At 40.9% G+C, this 20227-nt stretch overlaps 1 protein-coding gene across 19 annotated transcripts in view, besides 3 other annotated features; it reads left to right on the top strand.

Moving 5' to 3' along the window:
• LARP4B (La ribonucleoprotein 4B) overlaps positions 1 to 20227 on the top strand; it is a 181428-nt gene that overhangs the window by 136657 nt on the left and 24544 nt on the right. For 15 of the 19 annotated variants that reach the window (XM_047424897.1, XM_047424894.1, XM_047424893.1 and 12 more), the window contains 3 exons: positions 6630 to 6708; positions 8617 to 8753; positions 15179 to 15282. In XM_047424897.1, coding sequence (XP_047280853.1) covers positions 6630 to 6708; positions 8617 to 8753; positions 15179 to 15282 — 320 coding nt within the window. Of the gene's footprint in view, positions 1 to 6629; positions 6709 to 8431; positions 8558 to 8616; positions 8754 to 15178; positions 15283 to 20227 lie in introns of those variants that run through there. The other 4 variants (XM_017015992.2, XR_001747069.2, XM_047424902.1 and 1 more) reach the window with 4 other exon arrangements.
• Positions 14698 to 14867: an enhancer, noted in NCBI's record as "experimental_17861 CRE fragment used in MPRA reporter constructs". NCBI's record gives its function as "activates a minimal promoter by MPRAs in K562 erythroleukemia cells, with activity observed for the introgressed 10:882843 or rs11253458 variant allele {active_cell/tissue: K562}" and the evidence as "EXISTENCE:reporter gene assay evidence [ECO:0000049][PMID:34662402]".
• Position 14782: a transcriptional cis regulatory region, noted in NCBI's record as "Neanderthal adaptively introgressed variant 10:882843 (GRCh37/hg19 assembly coordinates) or rs11253458 in the experimental_17861 CRE". NCBI's record gives its function as "modulates activity of the experimental_17861 enhancer by MPRAs in K562 erythroleukemia cells {active_cell/tissue: K562}" and the evidence as "EXISTENCE:reporter gene assay evidence [ECO:0000049][PMID:34662402]".
• Positions 17862 to 18100: a silencer, noted in NCBI's record as "fragment chr10:879525-879763 (GRCh37/hg19 assembly coordinates)". NCBI's record gives its function as "represses an EF-1alpha promoter that drives an FKBP-Casp9 reporter gene in an ReSE screen in phorbol 12-myristate 13-acetate-treated (for megakaryocytic differentiation) K562 erythroleukemia cells {active_cell/tissue: K562(+PMA)}" and the evidence as "EXISTENCE:reporter gene assay evidence [ECO:0000049][PMID:32094911]".

Genomic DNA, 20227 nt, shown 5'->3' with positions numbered 1-20227 from the left:
GTTACAAAGATTTGGTCTATTTCATCTGAGTTGTGGGATTTACAGCACAGAGTTGTTCATAATACTCTGTTATCACCTGTGAAATCTGTAGTCATGTTACATCACTCATCTCTGTTATTGGTAATTTGTGTCTTCTTTATAATCCCAATCAGTCTGGGTAGAGGTTTGTTAGTTTTATTGACCTTATCAAAAGGTGTTTTCTGTTGGGCATGGTGGTTCACACCTGTAATCCCAGCACTTTGAGAGGCCGAGGCGGGCAGATCACGTGAGGTCAAGAGTTCAAGACCAGCCTGGTCAACATAGTGAAACGCCATCTCTACTAAAAATACAAAAATTAGCCGCCTGTGGTGGCGGGCGCCTGTGGTCCCAGCTCCTCGGGAGGCTGAGGCAGGAGAACTGCTTGAACCCAGGAAACGTAGGTTGCAGTGAGCCAGGATCGCACCATTGCACTCCAGCATGGGGGACAGAGCGAAACTCCATCTCAAAAAAAAAAAAAAAAAAAAAGTTAGTGTTTTCATTTTATCGATTTTTCTCATTTGTTTTACTCTTTCCTATTTCATTCTTTCTTCTGATGTTTGTAATATACTCTCTTACGATTTCTTTGGGTTTAATTTACCCTTTCTTCTGTGTCCTAAGGTGGAAGCAGAGCTCATTAATATGAGGCCTTTCTTATTTTCTGATATAGTCATTTAGTTTTACTATTTTCCCCATAAGTAGTGCTTAAGCAGAATCTCTCAAATTTAGATGCATTGTTTTCATTTTCAGTTACTTCCAAATACTGTATTTCTTTTTTGATTTTTTTTCTTTGACTCATAGATAATTTAGAGATATTTGATTTAGTTTACAAATATTTGGGGGTTTTCCAGGGATCTTTCTTTTATTAATTTCTAGTTTAATTTCATTGTGGTCAAAGAACATACTTTGTATGACTTGAATTTCTTTAAATATATTAAGTCTTATTTTATGGCTTCAAATATGGGCTGTCTTGTTAAATATTCCATTTGTCCTTGAGAAGAATATGTGTTTTGCTGTTGCTATGGGGAATATTTTGTCAGTGTTAATGAGGTCAAGTTGAGTGGTAGTGTTCAAGATTAATGTACTCTTTCTGATTTCTGTCTACTTGTTCTGTCAACTATTGAAAGAAAGGTTCTGTTAATTTTTGCATTTGTCTGTTTATCCTTTTAGTTTTATCAGTTTTTGCTTCACGTATTTTGAAGACTTTTTTGTGGCCTCTTGATTCATTGACCCCTCTCTTTATCTTTAGTAATAGTCTTTGCTCTCAATTTACTTTGTCTCACATTAATGTAATCACTCCAGGTTTCTTTTGACTAGCCTTAATATGGTATATCTTATATCCTTTTTACTTTAAGCTATTTGTGTATTTAATAAAGTGCATTTGTTGTAGATAACATAACATTTGGGTTTTGCTTTTTTGTCTTCTATTTAGAACGTTAACATTTAGTGTGGTAATTGCTTTGGTTAGGTTTAGGTCTCTCATCTTGCTATTTGTTTTAGAATAGTTTTAGACTTAGAAAAATTGAGATGATTGAACACACAGAATTCCCATATACCTGGCACCCAGTTTTTCCTATTACCGACATCTTGCATTAATATGGTACATTTGTCCCAATCACTGAACCAGTAGTGATACATCGTAACCTAACGTCCTTTTTCTGTTGCGGGATCTCAGCTGAGAACCACATTATATTTCATTGTTACGTCTCCTTAGGCTCCTCTTGGCTGTAACAGTTTCCCAGGCTTTCCTTGTTTGTGGTAGTTTTGATATAATAGTTCTGAAGAGTACTAGTCAAGTATTTTGTAACAACATTCTCTTCTATTAGAATTTGATGTTTTCCTCATTATGATACTATAGTGGTAATGGGTTTGAGAAGGTAAAACACCACTTTTATCACATATATCAAGGGTGCACATTGTCAACGTGACTTACCACTGTTGGTGTTGATCTTGATCACCTGGCTGTTTACTGGGTTTCTCACTATGAAGTTACCCTTTCCCTCCCCATTTCCATGTTGTACTGTTTGGAAGGAAGTCGCTGCGTACAGCCCACACTTAAGGAGTTGGGGATTTATGGTCCCCCTCCATGAGGACACGAATCTTCGTAAATTATTTAAAATTCTTATGTATGGGAGATTTGTCTCTTCTCCTTTATTTATTTACTTATTCAACTCTTTATAGCAGTGTGGATTCCAGAATGTTTGTTTTATACTTTTGGTTATAATCCAGTACTGCTTTATTTTGTTGCTCAAATTGTTCTTCTAGCTTTGGCCATCAGGAGTTCTGGTCGGCTCCCTTTGACATGCCCCATCAACATAGGGTTTTTTTGTGGTTATTTTGTTTTGTTTTGTTTCTCCTTGCTTCAGCCTTAGAATCAGCCATTTCTCCAAGGAGCGCTGGGTCCTTCATTGGACAGTGATATCAGAAACCAAGATTGAGTGCTAGACGTGTTCTGTTTCTTTTTGTCCCATGTGTTCTTCGTTCCTCTTTCCCTTTTTTTCTGTTTTCCTTTGGAGCAGCCTTCTTCTTTGTTTCGCTGTTTTAATGATTTCTTTGCGTTTTGCTCCACTTCCTCCGGCTAACACAGTCTACCTTGAGGTGGCTGCGTGCTGCTTCACATAGAGCACAGCATCAGGGCAGTCTGCCGCCGTTTCTCTCGTGGCCCGGATGCTTTGGTCATCATGCCTTTTGCAGTTACTTATGCTATAAACTGACAATATATGTTTTTATTTTTATTTAAAAGTCAGTTATTTTTAAAAGAGATTGAAACTGTAACAAGCAAAACAGCATACGTGTTTGTCCATGTCATGGCGGTTTCTGGTGCTCTCTACTCCTGTGTGTAGATTTTCTCTGTGTTGAGGGCTGACTATACCAGGGTCTGCTGTTACACTTGAGCTCAGCTGCTCGATGTTGTCCGCAGCTTGCTGATCCTCTCAGCTGGTTGTGCTTCTCATTTTTCTGTTTGATTTTGGGAAGCTTCTGTTACTGTGTCTTCAGGTTCCCGAGTCTGCTGTAATGTTTACCCTGTTGTTAATCTCATCAAGTATTTTTAATATCAGACATTGGAGTTTTCATCTCTATAAGTTTTTTCTTTTTTTTTTTTAATAACTTTTATGTCCTTACCTGACTTCGTGAACATATGGAATACAGTTATGATAACTTTTAACATCCTTTTCAGTTAATTTTAACATCTGTGTCAGTTCTGGATTGGCTTCTGTTGGTTGATACTTCTCATTGTCATGGGTCATATCTTCCTGCTTCTTTCTTTGCATGCATGGTAATTTTTGGTTAGATTGAGTTTTACTGTATTCAGGGCTTAGTATTTTTGTATTTCTTTAAATATTTGATATTTGTTCTGGGATGCAGCCAGGTTTCTTGGAAACAGTGTGATCCTTTCATATCTTGTTTTTAAGATGTTAGGTGTGAGTGGGACGGTGCTGTGTGGGGCCTGTTCCTATCACCGAGGCAGGGCTCCGGGAATCACAAGAGTTTCTGGTGGGGAGGGTTAACCATTTCAGGCTCTGCACGTGAATGACATATATTGTTATACTTCTGATCCCCTCAGGTGGTTCTTCCACGAGCCTTGGGTAGTTTCATCACATCCGTGCTTTGCAAAGAACCTGGCTGACAACGTGATGGGTCCTGGGCCCTGTGGTTCTCTGGAGCTCCTCCTGCTGTCTGGCCTATGCAATCAGCCTCCCTATCTCCTGCATTCTCTTTTTCTCTTCCACACAGCCATACACTGGGTTCCCACCTGACTTCCCACTCCCTGGGCACAGCCTGGGACTTCCCTCAGGGCAGTGGGCTGGACTTGTGGGGGTTACTTTAATGTCTCATGTCAAGCTGGGCACGGTGGCTCACGCCTGGAATCCCAGCACTTTGGGAGGCTGAGGTGGGCAGATCACGAGGGCAGGAGTTCGAGACCAGCCTGACCAACATGGTGAAACCCTGTCTCTACTAAAAATACCAAAAAAAATTAGCTGGGCCTGGTGGTGTGCGCCTGTAATCCCCGCTACTCAGGAGGCTGAGGTAGGAGAATCACTTGAACCCGGGAGGTGGAGGTTGCAGTGAGCCAAGGTTGCAAGATCGCGCTACTGCACTCCAGTCTGGGTGACAGAGCAAGGCTCCGTCTCAAAAAAAAAAAAGAAAAAAGTTTCATGTCACATAGGAATCTATGTCCTTTGTTGCTCTATGTCCCACATCTGGAAAACTGTCATTTCATCTGTCTTATTTGGTTTCTTGGTGGTTTTAAAGGGAAAGTTAACCTAGCCCCTGTGACTCCATCTACCTGGAGGCAGATGGCCTGTGTCTTACCAACACCATGTGCCCAACCTCCAGTCTCCCTGAGAGCCCGTCTCACTTGTCATTGTCTTTGCTCCTCAGTGTCCTCTGTCTGCAGTGCCGGGTGTTTCTTGCATGGTTGGGTCACTCCCCATCTTTCTAAGGTGGTATTATCTCTCATCTTAGGTGAAGCCACCCCGGGCAGCCCATCTTCCACTGTAGAACACTTCAGCTGTCTGCTTGCTGTCCCATCTCCTTGCTTCCATTCCCTCTTGAGTGCAGTCCAGGTCTCCTTGCTTCCATTCCCTCTTGAGTCCAGTCCAGGTAGACAGTTGTCCTAAGCAGCATTTGTCGAGCTCTTTAATGACCCTGGTGCAGCCAGATCTAGTAGTTAGTTTCAACTTCTTAACTTACCTGGCTCTACTGTGTCATGTTATAGTGGATGATTCTCTTGGCTCCTAACTTCACAGTATCCTAGTGGTCTTCCCACCTTGCTGGCTGTGAGCCTGTGTCCCTTGGCCCTCATGCGCTTGCCTCCTGCTGAAGGTGGGAGTGTCCCGGGTTCAGTCCTGGGCTGCTTTTCTTCCTTCCCTTGTGGCTTCGGCACCACCTATCGCTTGGAGAGTCCTCCCTAGTGCCCTGTCCTCAGTGATTGCATTATCTTCCGGCTGGTGCCTGCACAGTCTGTCTACACCATGGAACCAGAGAGATATTTTCAAAATGTCAGCCTTGAATTGATTTTCTATTACGTTTAGGTTACTTTAACGTCCTCCTTGATCTCACTCACACACACCGGCCTCTGTGACCTCATTTCTTACTGTGTCTGTCACCCCTCTTCTCAGCTGTGCTGGCCTCCTACTGCTGGACTCTACCCCTTGAGAGGCCCCACCTTGGGACCCCTGTGCTTGAGGCTCCCCATTTAGAACACACTTCCCACCTTCCTGTGTGCCCCACCCCTCCTCTATCAGATCATATGGCACTTCCTGTCTGGATGGCACCAGGCCTTGCTGCCCCTCATCCTGGGTTGTTTCCTCAGTGTCCGTTTCTCTCTGACATGATGTGTATAGTTACTGGTTAACTGTCTGTTATCTGCCTCTCCCACCAGAGTGTTGGCTTCACGAGAGCACAGGCTTTGCGTTATTCAGGCTGAATTCACAGAGCCTGCAGTAGTGCCTGGCACTTGGAAATATTTAGTAAATACCTATTAAACATGGGGAGTGGAGTGTGAATTTAGATGAGTGACCCGGAGACACCTTAGTCTAGATGGACAGTGGCATCAGGTTGTGTTTTCAATTTTCCATTTTCAGTCTCATTGAGTCCCATGATTTGGTTTTGTGTTATGGTTACTTTAGCAGTTTTGGTTTCTTTTTGCTGATGGGGGTGGATTTTTACTAAGCTCATTGTATAACACCATACAAACTCTCTATCCCTCTCATTTGTCCTGAACGCCCCACTTTGTCTTTGCCTTTTCATGGTCTTTAACTTTGACTTTTAAGATACAAGTGTCTCTTGTGTTAGCATGGCTCTTATATGATTGTACCATGCTAATTTATATAGGAAGGCAGGAAAAACTTAGTTCTTAGCATTTCAGTGCCTGTCATCGCAACATTATTAAAATACCTCTTTATGCAGTGTCCGGAGTCCAGCAGTTTATGCAGTGTCTTCTAGAGCTCCAAATTCACAGCCCTGTGCTGCCTGTGACCACACACACCATGCCCTCTGGCATCTTCTTAGAAATTTCTTCCAGGATTTAGAACCAGCTTTTGTTTCCTCTTGAAGATCTGGTTTATTTATCATTCTCTTACAGGAATTCTGTAACATGACAATTCTCACTTGTTCCTTCGACTCTGGAAGTTGGAAGGCAAATTGAAGCCTCTGTTGTAGAAACTGTCTAGTCCTAGAGCCTGTTTGATCTCCAGCCTTGGTTTTTTGCTGGTTATCTTTGTTGTTGTTGTTTTAATTTTTTCCTCTGTATTTTATTATTGTTTAGGGTTTGTGTTTGTGTAGGTTACTTGAAAATTCTTTTTGCAGTGAGACAAGGCATTAACTAAGCTTACACTTGTCATTTCTGGTAGAAAAAGCCCCTGCTGAACTCTGCTAATGAGACTTAGATTATTTTTCTAAACTGTGCTGTTTTTGTTTTGGGGGATAAAGGGATAGGTTTTTTTGCATGATTTACTTTTTTGATAGGTAAAGTAGCATTTTTCTTACTTAGGATACACTTACGTAGTTGTGTCAGAACGTAAGTTGAAAGCATTAGAACTGCTGTACTGAATTATCTGCTTCCTAAATTTTAAGCCGGTTTTCCTAAGTTGATTATTACTTTTATGTAGGAGGAAATGAGTCTCAACCAGACAGCCAGGAAGACCCCCGAGAAGTACTTAAAAAAACATTGGAATTCTGCTTATCTAGGTAAGGCTGGTGGTGGTTTTTCTAGTACCTGATATTTCTAGTATTGTGCAAATAGTTAAAGTATATACAAATGTGATATTTTATGAAGGAGTATCTACTCATATCCATATATATGTATATGAAGACGTGGAATATTGAGTAATGACAGTCTTTTGACATTTGAGCATGGAACGTAACCTTCATGTCTGTGGTCCCCAGTGGTCTCGGTGGTCACTGTCTGGAATGCGTCTAAAGTGCCCCGCCCGCCCTGTGCTGCCGAGTCAGACTTCCTCACACTGAAGTTGGAGAACAAGTGTGCCACGTTGTTTCTGAAAGCACACCAGACACTGAGATAGCAAGTTGTTTTATTTATATAACACTCATTTTTAATCATTTTTCTTTCCCCTGAATAATACCCTTTTCTTAGTAAAACCTTTAAAGTTCCAATGGCAGAACTGGACATAAAGGAGGATGGGATTGGGTTTGATGTAATTTCTCTGAGTATGACAACAACCGATGGGCCGTGTATAAGGTTTTCTGTCGATGATGATTTTCCAGGTGTTTTCTCTGGAGCCCTGAGGATTCCACACAGGTGTCTGCTAGGGGCTCCTTGAAGCCTGTGGGGTGTATGAGGTGGAGGTGTGAGGGGCTCTGCTGGCCTCCTCCCCATGCCCATGCTGTTCCACGATTGGAGTCTGAGAATACCGCACCATGACATGGTAGACGCAAAAGGTGCAGGGGCACCAGTGGAACGCCCTAGTGGAGCACAAGTGTGAGCTCTCTGCCACTCACATCCATGTGTAGCCCCATGGGGCCAGAATCAGCTACACCTGGAAGATGGCCGAGATGAGGGTGGAGCAGGGCCTCCTCCTGCATGGCCTCCGTTTGATCGGCAGTCATGGGCCTTCACCGAGGGACACTGAGCAGAGGCCCCAGGAACCCAGCACTGTGCTCAGTTTTGAAATGTTTCTTAGGGCCTTGTTCACTACATTACATGATGCCTTGAGAATTCACAGGAAACATTGATCTTTGGCCAAAACACCAGAAAATAGCTCATCATGGCCCAAACTGCTGATGATTTGTGGCTCACCTTTGGATTTTGTGGGTAAAGTTACTGTTTCCTTCTTTTTAATTCTGGCTGCTAGGAAGCCAGGGCTGGATATAGGCCCTCTGGTGAGTGTTCCAGAGTCTACAGGAGGAATTTTGGGTATGACCTTATCCTGGCCTTTTTATGTTTTCCTTTCTTGTTCATTGAGCTGGATTTCTTTACTTTAAATTGTTTTTCTTTCTTTTTTTTTGAGTCAGAGTTTCACTCTTGTCGCCCAGGCTAGAGTGCAGTGGTGTGATCTTGGCTCACTGTAACCTCCACCTCTCGGGTTCAAGCGATTCTCCTGCCTGAGCCTCCCGAGTAGCTGGGATTACAGGTGCCCGCCACCATGCCTGGCTAATTTTTGTATTTTTAGTAGAGATGGGGTTTCACCATGTTGGTCAGGCTGGTCTTAAACTCCTGAACCCAGATGATCTGCCTACCTTGGCCCCCCAAAGTGCTGGGATTCCAGGCGTGAGCCACCGTGCCCGGCCTAACAAAATTGTATGCATTTTTAATAAACTCTTAAGCTACTTCTTAGGACAAAAATGACAGCTATAAATAATTACATCTTATTTAAAAATAACCATCTTCTCATAAATTTTGATTGTAGAAAGTACAGTATACTTTTACTTTTGCACTCCCTGCCTCTCCAAGGCCGAGATTTTGCAAAAATGTACCTGAGGCTGGAGAGACAGCAAATAACAGATGGGTCCTGGGCTGAGATTTAACTCCAAAGCAATACCATGCCACACTCACGCCTCTTGTGAAACTGGAATTACAGTAGGTGAAACTTCCTTTTAAAGAAATACTGATTAAAAGAGATTGTTTTCTTTCAACAGGGAGAACCTTGCTAGTGACATGTATCTTATATCACAGATGGATAGTGACCAGTATGTGCCAATCACAACGGTGGCTAACCTCGACCACATCAAGAAGCTCAGCACTGATGTGGACTTGATTGTGGAAGTGCTAAGATGTAAGTAAATGACAATTTAAATTAATAATACTTGTCCTTAGAGTATTTGTCTTATCAGCATGAACCTTTAAATCTATAGCCATCAAACGTTAAGGTCCTTGATGGCGAATCAGATTCTTTTCTGGCCTTCCGTTCCTTTCTGCCCAGGTCCAATAATTCTGGAGTAGCGCCTGATAGTCCCTGGGAATGCCAGTTGAACCCGTTATGAAACCTCAAACAAGTTTTGGGACATATGAAGTAGAAAAGAATCTTGTTAATGGGGATTTTAAAGATAGCTGTTTCATTCATGAAAAACAAAATAAAAATAACATTTATAGTTAAAGTAAAATACACTTTAGTTACAGTTTTACCACTAGAGGTTTTTCTTTCAAATTGCAACTTCCTGTTTATGTTCGGATGAAATAATTATTGCAATTTTTCTTAAAATTATGTTGTGGGCCAGGTGTGGTGGCTTACGCGTGTAATCCCAGCACTTTTGGAGGTCGAGTTGGGCGGATCATGAGGTCAGGAGATTGAGACTGTCTTGGCCAACATGGTGAAACCCTGTCTCCACTAAAATACAAAAAATTAGCTGGGCGTGGTGGTGTGTGCTTGTAATCCCAGGTACTTGAGAGGCTGAGGCAGGGAAATCACTTGAACCCAGGAGGCGGAGGTTGCAGTTAGCTGAGATTGTGCCATTGCACTCCAGCCTGGCGACAGAGATAGACTCCATCTCATAAAAAAAAAAAAAAATTATGTTGTGAGTGAAGTTGTTTCTTTGAAGTTTGGCAACATCAAACAGTGTTTAAGCATTAAGTGTGGATGGTGCCCCTACATAGTTTTGAGTGATTGGACATTGCTAAGCCTGACTTCAAGTCTCAATTAAGTCCACTGCCTATACTCACATAGAAGGGTTTTCACGTTGTCCCTGGCTTATCTGTACTGACGACAGTCTGTGCAGGTTTTTTTTTTTTCTTGTATGAATTTGACTTTACAGTAGTATAAAAAAGTGAGCATCTTACATGAGAACTTAGTTGGATTTTCTTTTCACAAATAAAATATAAAATAAAAGTTTTATGTTTTTCTGTTTTTAGACAAATAGCATGGGTTATTAAATTATTGGAGACAGTGAAAAAACTGACAAACATAATTACCATTGACTGTGAGTTCTGAGAGCGGCACTGCTGTCTCCCAGGATGGCGCCGTGCTCCCTGGTGTCATCATGCAGAACAGAAGCTGTTGTCTGTGCCAGCTGAATTGGGCCCCATCTTTGAAAGGCCAGCAGCATTCTTGTCCCTGTTTGTACTCTGAAGTCTTTTTGGTTATGATTAGGAGTTTCAGGTTTAGTTATTCCTTTTCGGACAGACCTTGCAAACGCTGCTGCCCCACTGGGATGATTTCTCAGTTGATTGTTACTGGCAAGGGGTCGTTTCCACCAACCATGAGGATATTAAATTGCTCTGTGTGCTTGCTTAACAGAGCCCACCTGCCCATAGGCGATCCAGGGCAGGCTTGTCACCTATTTCGTCCCATCTCCTCCCGCCTTTTTTATGACTTAACTTTTATCCATTTGCACTGAGCTCTTTAGTTTCTCATTTTGTCTTTTTTCACTCGATTTTTGGACAGAAATGTACATGCCTTTGTAAGAACCTATGTGACAAGAATATAGTTAGCAAGTTATTGCATTCATTGTAGCTCTTAAGAGGATGAAAATGTCATAAATAGGTCCGCAGGAGCAAAGTTCTCATCTTACTTTTTTTTTAAATTAAGTTGAATGGACGAATGAATTTATTTATTTTTGAGATGGAATCTCACTCTGTCGCCAAGGCTGGAGTGCAGTGGTGTCATCTCAGCTCATCGCAACTCTGCCTCCTGTGTTGAAGCAATTCTCCTACCTCAGCCTCCCAAGTAGCTGGGCATTACAAGCGTGCACCACCACGCCCAGCTAATTTTTTGTACTTTTAGTAGAGACGAGGTTTTACCACATTGGCAGGGCTGGTCTCAAACTTCTGACCTGAAGTGATCTGCCCACTTCAGTCTCCCAAAGTCCTGAGATTACAGGTGTGAGCCACCATGCCTGGCCTCATCTTATGTTTAGATCTTGTGCCCAAATTACCTAGCAGAGACTCAGACACACAGCAGATATTTGATGAATATTTAATTTTATCTTTTTACAAATTAAACTCAAGATTGTCTGAATGATTTTCCTTTGAATAGTGCAGCTCTTGTGTTAAGTTGCATAAGTTACATTTCCAGATTATTTTTAATGTCACAGTAAACACAATGTGCGTGTCCCAGTATGTCTGAGTCAAGGGCTGTTTTCACCCTTCATGTAACTGAACTGCTAATTAAAAAGACATGCTAAAATATTTGTCACCAGAATAAATACGTTGTGTTATATACACACAGTGAGTACCAGAGCTGTTACAGTGAGCTAGGCCTACATATTCCAACAAGAATAAATTTTAAAATTATAATGTTTATAAAAGCGTATTTCCAAATTTGTGCAAGGTGATACCATGTATATAAAGCTTGGGGGTGTGTAAAGCTGAAGCACAGGAATTTTTGTGGGTTCAGAGGAGCACGGAGATGGTGTGAAAGCATGAACGGGATTGAAGCTCATCATTCAGTGTCACGTCATGGGGGCAGGTGAGTTGGGCGAGGCATGAAGTGCAGAGGGTGTCACCCCTGCCTGTATGGAGGTAGAATTTACATACCATAAATTATGCATTCTAAGTGTACATTTCGTAAGTTTTAACATATTTATACACCCATGAAACTACCACAATCACGATACCAAACAGCCATCACAGCCCACCCCCGCCAAGCGTCCTCTACCCCCTCCCCAGGCAACCACTGATTTGCTTCCTGTCACTACGGATTAGCTTGCAGTGTTTACAAATTTGATGTAAATGGAGTCGATTATGCAATATCACTTTCTTTTGGTCTGGCATAACTATTGTTGTTTACTGGATTAGTAGGTGATTGCTTCTTTTTGCTGGGAAGTATTCTCTCAAATGGGTATTCCCAGTTGGTTTATGCACCTAGCAGTTATAGACATTTAGGTTATTGCCGGGTTTTGACCACTACAAATTGCTGTGGACACTTGTGTAAAAGTCTCCGTGTGACCATGTGCTTCCCTCTCTCTTGGGTAAATAGCCACAAGTGGAATGTCTGGATTGTGTGGTTAGGTGTGTGAGCAACTGTGAAACCACCTGCCTGTTTTCCAAAGTGGTTGGACCATTTTACGGTTGGCCACCACCAGCAGGGATGAGAGCTCCAGTTGCCCCATATCCTTCTGACACTTCGTATGCAATCATGTTAATTTTATGTTTTCTAATAACTATATAGTGATATCTTGTTGAGGCTTTAACATCTGTTTCTCTAATGATTAATGAAGTTGAGCATTTTTTAAATGAGCTTATTTGCCTTCCTTTTTCTTCTTTGCAGTAGTGTCTATTTAGATGTCCCACACATACTTTATTAGTTTTATTAACAATTGAGTCCTTTCTTTAGAAGTAGACTTTATTTTTTATAACAGTTTTAGATTCACAGCAAAATTGTAAGCAAAGTACAGAGATCTCCCATTATATCCCCTGTACACATGCATGGCCTCTTCCCATATGAACATTCCGCAGCAGAGGAACATTTGTTATAATTGATGAAACCAACACTGACACATCATTGTCACCTGGAGTCCACAGTTTACATAAGGGTTCACTTGGTATTGTATATTCTATGGGTTCAGACAACCATATAGGGACATTATCTACCATTACAGTATCATACAGGGTAATTTTACTGACCTAAACGTCCTCTGAGTTCCACCCGTGCATCCCTGCCTCCCCCAGTCACTGGAAGCCACTGATCTTTTTACTGCCTCTGTAGTTTTGCCTTTTGCAGAATGTCCTAGAGTTGGATCCTATAGGATGTAGCCTCTTCAGATTGGCTTCTTTCACTTAGCAATATATGTTGAAGGTTCCTCCATGTCTTTTCGTGGCTTGATAGATCATTTCTTTTTAGTGTGGAATAATAGTTCATTGTCTGGATGTCCCACAGTTTGCTTATCCATCTACCCACTGAAGTGCATCTTGATTACTTCCAAGTTTTGGCAGTTATGAGTAAAGTTGCTATAAACATCTGTATGCAGATTTTGTGTGGACATAATTTTTTAGCTCCTTTGGATAAATACCAAGGAGCACAATTGCCAGATCATATGCTAAGAATATTATTTGTTTTGTAAGAAGCCACCAAAGTGTCTCCCAAAGTGGATGTACCACTTTGCATTCCCATCGGCAGTGAATGGGAGTTCCTCTTGCTCCACATCCTCGGCAGCATTTGGTGGTGTCATTGTTTGTGATTTTTGCTGTGCTGACAGGTATGCAGTGACATCTCATTGATGTCTTAATTTGCATTCCCTATGACATATGATGTGAAGCGTTTTTCCATATGTAGATTCGCCCTCTGTAAATCTTTTGTGAAGTGTCTGTCCAGGTCTTCTGCCCATTTTTTAATCTTGTTCATTTTCTTATTGTTGATTTTTAAAGTTTTTTGTGCATTTTGATGTTAACAGTCCTTTATCAGATGTGTCTTTTGCAACTATTTTCCATCAGTCAATGGCTTCTCATCCTGTTGACGTTGCCTTTCACGAAGCAGAAGTTTTAAATCTTAATGAAATTTTTTCATGGATCATGCCTTTAGTGTGGTATCTAAGAAGTTATTGTCAGACCCAAGGCCTTCTAGATTTTCTCCTATGTTTTCTAGGACTTAAGGTTTTGCATTTTACACTTAGGTCCATGATCCATTTGGGGTTAATTTTTATGAATGGTGGTGCCAGGTCTGCACCTAGATTAATTTTCTGCATGTGGATGTCGAGTGGTTTAGCAGCACTTGTTGAAAAGATGCTCCTTTGCTCCACGGTCACATTGTCAATGATGTATGTGTGTACACTTAAATATGTATTACACGTGATTTACAAATATGCTCTCTAAGTGTACAGCTGTTTTTTTTTTTGTTCTACCAGTGTCTTTTGAGAAGCAGAAGTAGACATTTTTTATATAGTCCAATTTGTAAATTTTTTTCGTGTTACAGATCTTGCTTTTGGTGTTGTACCTAAGAAATCTTTGCTTGGTCCAAGGTTATGATAGTTTTCCTTTTATTAGTTTTATGTTTTACATTTGAACATTCGAGTCTGTCATCTATTTTGTGCTGATGTTTGTACATGGTGTGGGGTATGGATCCTGTGTGCATCTGTTGCAGCACCCCACGTGTCTGGGGCCTTGTCGTATTGACTGCCCGTGCACGTGGGTGTTGGTCTCTGGAACGTGTGTTTTATTCCCTTGATTACTTGTCTGATTGGATGCTAACACTACAGTGTCTTAATCACTGTAACGTTATAGTGAGTCTTAAAGTAGGTTCAGAACCTCCAGCTTTGCTGTGGCCCTTGTAAATGTTTTGCATTTTTATATGAATTTTAGAATCATCATTACAATTTTTCAAAAAGTCCTGTTGGTGTTTTTATTGGGATTGCATTGATTGTATAAATTCACTCGAGAAGAATTCACGCATTCTACCAGTGTTAAGTTTTACAACCCACAAGCACAGAATATGTCTTTATGTAGGTCTTTAAAATGTTCTTTTGGCAGTGTTTTGCAGTTTTCAGCATATGAGTCTTTGATGATCTTTTGTCAGATTAAGATATAAAAACTAAGTTACAGTCATGCACCAGTTACCTTTCTTGTAGGGTGAGCTTTGGTGGTTTATGTCTTTTAAGGAATGTTTCTGTTTCATGTAATGTATTAGTGTGAACTTTTTCATAATATTCCGTTGTTATCTTTTTCCTGTTGATAGAACCTGTAATGATGTTGCCACTTTCATCCTGATGCTGGTGATTTGTGTCTTTGTGACAGTGGGCACCTCTGAGCCCTAATTGTGATCATTACTTGCTGTGACTCGAATCTGCGCATTGCGTAATTTCTTAGATGTGATGCCAAAACCCAATTTATGTAAAAACTGGCGAAATCTAAATTAGGCCTATTACTGCAGTCACATGAGCATCCTAATGTAAACAGTGCACGACCGTTAGGTGAGGGATGATCATCAGGGAGCCAGGGAAGGGCACACAGAAACAAGTTATGAAACAAGATTATCTCACTTTAGGTACTGGTGGAAAGGAGAAAGCCGTTAACCCTGTATTTTCATCTGCTCTTAGTGCTTGAGCTGTTTAGAACCTTTGTTTCATAGTGTTACATACATTATGGCTCCTGCAGGATTTTAAATGTCCATATTCCTGAGCTTTGAAAAATCTAACGTGAGATTGGTTTACTTTGCCCATTTGCAGGTTTCTTTAGCTTATTTAGTAATATAGTAATATAATGTAACACATTCCACTGGCATATCATATTTTAATATTTTTGTTTCACCATTGATTTTTCTTCTCTTTGTAGCTTTACCTTTAGTCCAAGTGGATGAAAAGGGAGAAAAAGTAAGGCCAAATCAAAATCGCTGCATAGTAATATTGCGTGAAATATCTGAATCTACCCCCGTGGAAGTAAGTAATTTCTCCTCTGAAGGTTACTTGGACATTTTCCCAAAGGTCTTTGTTGGTTTTGATTTTATTTTACTTTTGTGTTTTTTTGGGCTGTGTGTTTTTTAGACTGAGTACTTACATTAACACTGTTTTCCCAGGATTTACACACAGTGAGTTACAGAGTAGGAGGGAATGATAACCAAACCTTTTGATCTCAGGACTCCTTATAATAAGATAGTGAAGGTTTATGCATTTCTATATTTAGAAATTAAAAATAACACATTTAAATATTTATTTAAAAATAAGATTAGTAAACCCATAAATAATGAAAAAGAGCACTTTTGTGATAAAAAAAACTTTTCAAAACAAGTATTTCTATGACAAAGGGGCATCGTGAATAACTCCCTGAGCCACCAGTGCAGCCTGGTCCAAGCCAGCACGGCCACTCTTAGAGAACTGGTAACTTGGGGAGTAATTTTTTTTTTTTTTTTGAGATGGAGTCTTGCTCTGTTGCCCAGGCTGGAGTGCAGTGGCGCAACCTCGGCTCACTGCAAACTCCATCTCCCAGGCTCAAGCAATTCTCCTGCCTCAGCCTCCCGAGTAGCTGGGATTACAGGCGCCTGTCGCTGCGCCCAGCTAATTTTTCTATGTTTAGTAGAGACGGGGTTTCACCATCTTGGCCAGGCTGGTCTGGAACTCCTGACCTCATAATCCACCCGACTTGGGCAGTAATTTTAGGGAACCACAGTATCTGATAGCTTAAAAGTAATGAAAAGCCATTTACTGTTATGTGTTGCTATAAAATCTACTGTTTGTCCAGATGCCTAAACTGAGTTGCTTTGTGTAGTAAACACACTGATGGTCACACCTTGAGATCATGAGGTAAAGTCTTTGTAGAAGGTGCTGGCAACTTAGTTTATCCTACCTCAGAAAACGGAATCTGCCTGCTTTGGGGACTCGCAGAACACAGGAAGCCTGGGTTTGTTGTTGGTCTCATCTCTCACATGATTTCAGCCTCGTCGTTCATGCTACCTCTTTCCACACACCTTCTCTGCAGAGGAGATGGACGTTGCGGTTCAGGCTTTTCAGTCCGAGTGGGTTAGTGTGTGTGAGAGTTTCTTAAGGAAAACAACCCTAGCATGTGAGAAAGGGCAGGATTCCAACAAAGCTCTCTGCCTAGCGTAAGAAATTCTATTACTCTCATAGAAGTATGGTCTTATTCTAGCAAGTTTTACCTTCTGTTCCACTTAGCCTGTCTTTACTAGTTCTATATTGTAGTATGTGGAGAAAAACAACTTAGGATTATAGTTTTTTCCTCCTATTTTTATTAAGGGTCTGAATATGAAGGACCAGCATATTTCTTGCTTGCTTTTTTTTTTTTTTTGAGACGGAGTCTTGCTCTGTCACCCAGGCTGGCATGCAGTGGCACGATCTCGGCTCACTGCAACCTCCACCTCCCAGGTTCGAGTGCTTCTCCTGCCTCAGCCTCCCGAGTAGCTGGGATTACGGCCTCCCAAAGTGCTGGGATTACAGGTGTGAGCCACCGCGCCCGGCCGAGGACCAGCATATTTCTTATGATTAATTTGGACATCTGTATTAACTCAAAGTAATATTTAAAACATAGATCCTAATTTTTAAGACTTGAAATGTTTGTAAAACTTTAACCAAGGAGAATTTTCTGCATTTAGCAGTAGACATTGATTTTGGAGTATTTATATTATTCAAAACTGCTGACCTTATGTCTTTTGTAAAACTTGAGCAATGAAAGTCTTAAGAGAGAAGGTTTAAAGGAAACTCTTTGATAAATTAAAAGTTGGGGAAAAAAAGGAAGGAAAATAAGTAGCCTAAAACAATCCACGTAAGAACATAAGTTCCCAAGGACTCTGTATAATTATTATAGAGCCCTTCTACTGGGTCTTAGAAATGTAGGCTAGGAGTTTCCAGAAAATTATTCTTTAAATGTCACTAGGTACTTGTCAGTGATTAGTACATTTTAAATACTGATTCTGATTTTCTTAAAAATAGGATTTTCCCAGAGGCAGAGGAGTCAACCATTCTTGCCACTAGTAGACTGATAGTCTAGTGGCCTTAAAGTATTATTGTTTGACTTTAAAAGTCATAATCCTAATTTACCGTTAGTCAAGTATGACTTTGCGTTGATGTGTTTTATCTTTTAACCAGTAAGCATTTACCAGTGATGGGACAACAACATAGGGCATTAGAATCCCTGGAAACCGTTTTTGTAGTTCATTTGGTTGTCAAATTCCTTTTGTACTTTTTGAGGTGTACCTGGCTAGTAATTTTTTATGGAATGGCCCTGTTTTTCCTTGTTGCTGTTTTTCCTCTGGAATTTGGAATGAATATAGCCACTCTCACGTTCCTTGATTGACATTAGTATGGTATGTCTTTTCTATCCTCTTTTAACCAACCCATTTGTGTTTTCATATTTAAAGTGGATTTCTTGTGAGCAGTGTGTAATTGGGTCTTGCTTTTCTTATCCAATCTGAAAATTTCTGTCTTTTTTTTTTTTTTTTTTGAGGTGGCATCTTGCTCTGTTGCCAGGCTGGAGTGCAGTGGTGTGATCTCAGCTCACTGCAACCTCTGCCTCCCGGGTTCAAGTGGTTCTCCTTCCTCAGCCTCCCGAGTAGCTAGGACTACAGGCATGCGCCACCATGCCAAGCTAATTTTGTACTTTTAGTAGAGACAGAGTTTCACAATGTTGGCCAGGATGGTCTTGATCTTTTGACCTCGTGATCCGTCCTCCTCGGCCTCCCAAAGTGCTGGGATTACAGGCGTGAGCCACCGCACCGGGCCCAATTTCTGTCTTTTAATTGGGAGTGTAGCCCATCTACATTTAAGAGGTTAATGATGTAATGATGTGATTAAATTTAAATTTATCATCTTGCTGTTTGTTTTCTGTTTTGTCTCTTCTTTATTTTCTTTCCCTTTCCCCTCCTTTTGTTTGGGATTAAATGTGTATTTTTATCTCCTTTTTTGGCATATTAGGTATAACTCTGTGTTTCTGTTTTTTAGTGGTGCTTTAGGGCATGCTTCTTCAGCCCGTGGGCGGCATGCCGCCCAGGACGGCTTTGTATGCAGCTCAACACAAATGCGTAAACTTTCTTCAAACATTTTGAGGTTTTTTTTTTTTTTTTTTTTTTTTTTTTTTTTTTTAAAGCTCATCAGCTATCGTTAGTGTTAGTGTATTTTATGTGTGGCCCAAGACAATTCTTCTACTTCCATTGTGTCCCAGGGAAGCCAAAATATTGGACCCCCTTTCTTTAGGGTTTTTAGCTGACCCTCTAACTTTACTAGAGTCCGTGTAATTCACAGAGCACCATGCCTCTTTACCTTACAGCCATGCTCTCCCATTTACAGCCATGCTCTCCCATTCTCCACTTCTAGCCTGTGCTGTTGTCACACATTCTAATTCTACACAGTCATAAGCCTCACAATACATCGTTGTTACGTTTGCTTTAAACAAGTCACTTTTAAAAAGAGATTAAAAATAAGAAAAACATGTTTTATATTTATTCAGTATTTGCCATTTACAGTCCTTCTCATTCCTTTATGTCAATCTGGACTTTCCTTCTGCCTGGACATTCCTTTAGCATGTCTTGTACAGGTCTGCCGATGATGAATTTTTTTCAGCTTTAGTATGTTTGGGAAAATCTTATTTCACCTTTATTTATGAAAGGTATTTTTGCTGCATATAGATTTCTGGATTGAGGGGGTTTTTTCCTCCCTTTCTGTGTTTTAAAGATACTCTCTCTTCTGGTATACGTTTTCTGTGGTTTTTATCACCATCCTTCTGTATGTAATAAGTCTTTCTCTGGCTGCTGTGAAGATTTTACTACTGGTTTTAAGCAAGTTGATTGCAATATGCTTTGGTGTAGTTTTCAAACTTCTCGTACCTGAAATTTATCGAGCCATTATTTTGTTAAATGTTTTCCTCTGCCTTTTGTCCTTTTCTTCAGAAAGTGTCTAGTCAGCTGTTAATCTTATTTAGTGTAGTTTTAATTTCAGACATTGTATTTTTCATCTCCAGTAAAGTTTGATTTTGGTCTTTTAAAAAAAATCTGGCCGGGCGCAGTGGCTCATGCCTGTAATCCCAGCACTTTGGGAGGCTGAGGCGGGCGGATCACGAGGTCAGGAGATCGAGACCATCCTGGCTAACACAGTGAAACCCCATCTCTACTAAAAATACAAAAAATTAGCCGGGCGCGGTGGCGGGTGCCTGTAGTCCCAGCTACTTGGGAGGCTGAGGCAGGAGAATGGCGTGAACCCGGGAGGCAGAGCTTGCAGTGAGCCGAGATAGCGCCACTGAACTCTGGCCTGGGCGAAAGAGCGAGACTCCGTCTCAAAAATAAATAAATAAAAAAAAATAAAAAATAAAAACAATCTTCCATATATATTTAATATGCTCAGTCTTTACCTTTTATGGGATATGGAATATATATGCAGTAAATGTGTTATGTGTATTAAGTCTATCGTATCTGTCATTTCTAGGTCTAATCTTTTGCATTATAGGTCATATTTTCTATTTCTTTGCATGCTTTGTGATTTTTGAGGAGATGCTCGGAGTTTTAAATTTTACTTTACTGAATATTTTTGTATTCTAATAAATATTCTTGAGCTTTGTTTTGAAATGCAGTGAAGTTACCTGGAACCAACTTTCTAGGTGGAATCAGAGCAGCCTTTTCTCTAGGGCTCATTTTCCCCACTGCGGAAGCAGTGCCCTTCTGAGCACTGTCCCTGCTATCCTGTGTGTTTAGGAGAGTTTTCCACTGTGGCCGGTGGGAAAACAAACCATTCCTCTCTTGGTGAGCCTTCCCTGGGCTTGTTCCCTCTCATCCCTCAGGCGGTTGTTTCCCAGGCTGAAGATGTGGGGAAGGCCATCTGCAGGCTTACCCTGCCGGCTCTGCGGCCCAGGCACTGAAGGCCAACTCCCCTGTTCATGTCCCTC

This window comes from Homo sapiens, chromosome 10, assembly GCF_000001405.40.
Source record: "Homo sapiens chromosome 10, GRCh38.p14 Primary Assembly".
NCBI classification, from domain to species: Eukaryota; Metazoa; Chordata; class Mammalia; order Primates; family Hominidae; genus Homo; species Homo sapiens.
The sequence above is the reverse complement of the archived record's forward strand: the minus strand, read 5'-3'. Positions and strand labels throughout refer to the sequence as shown.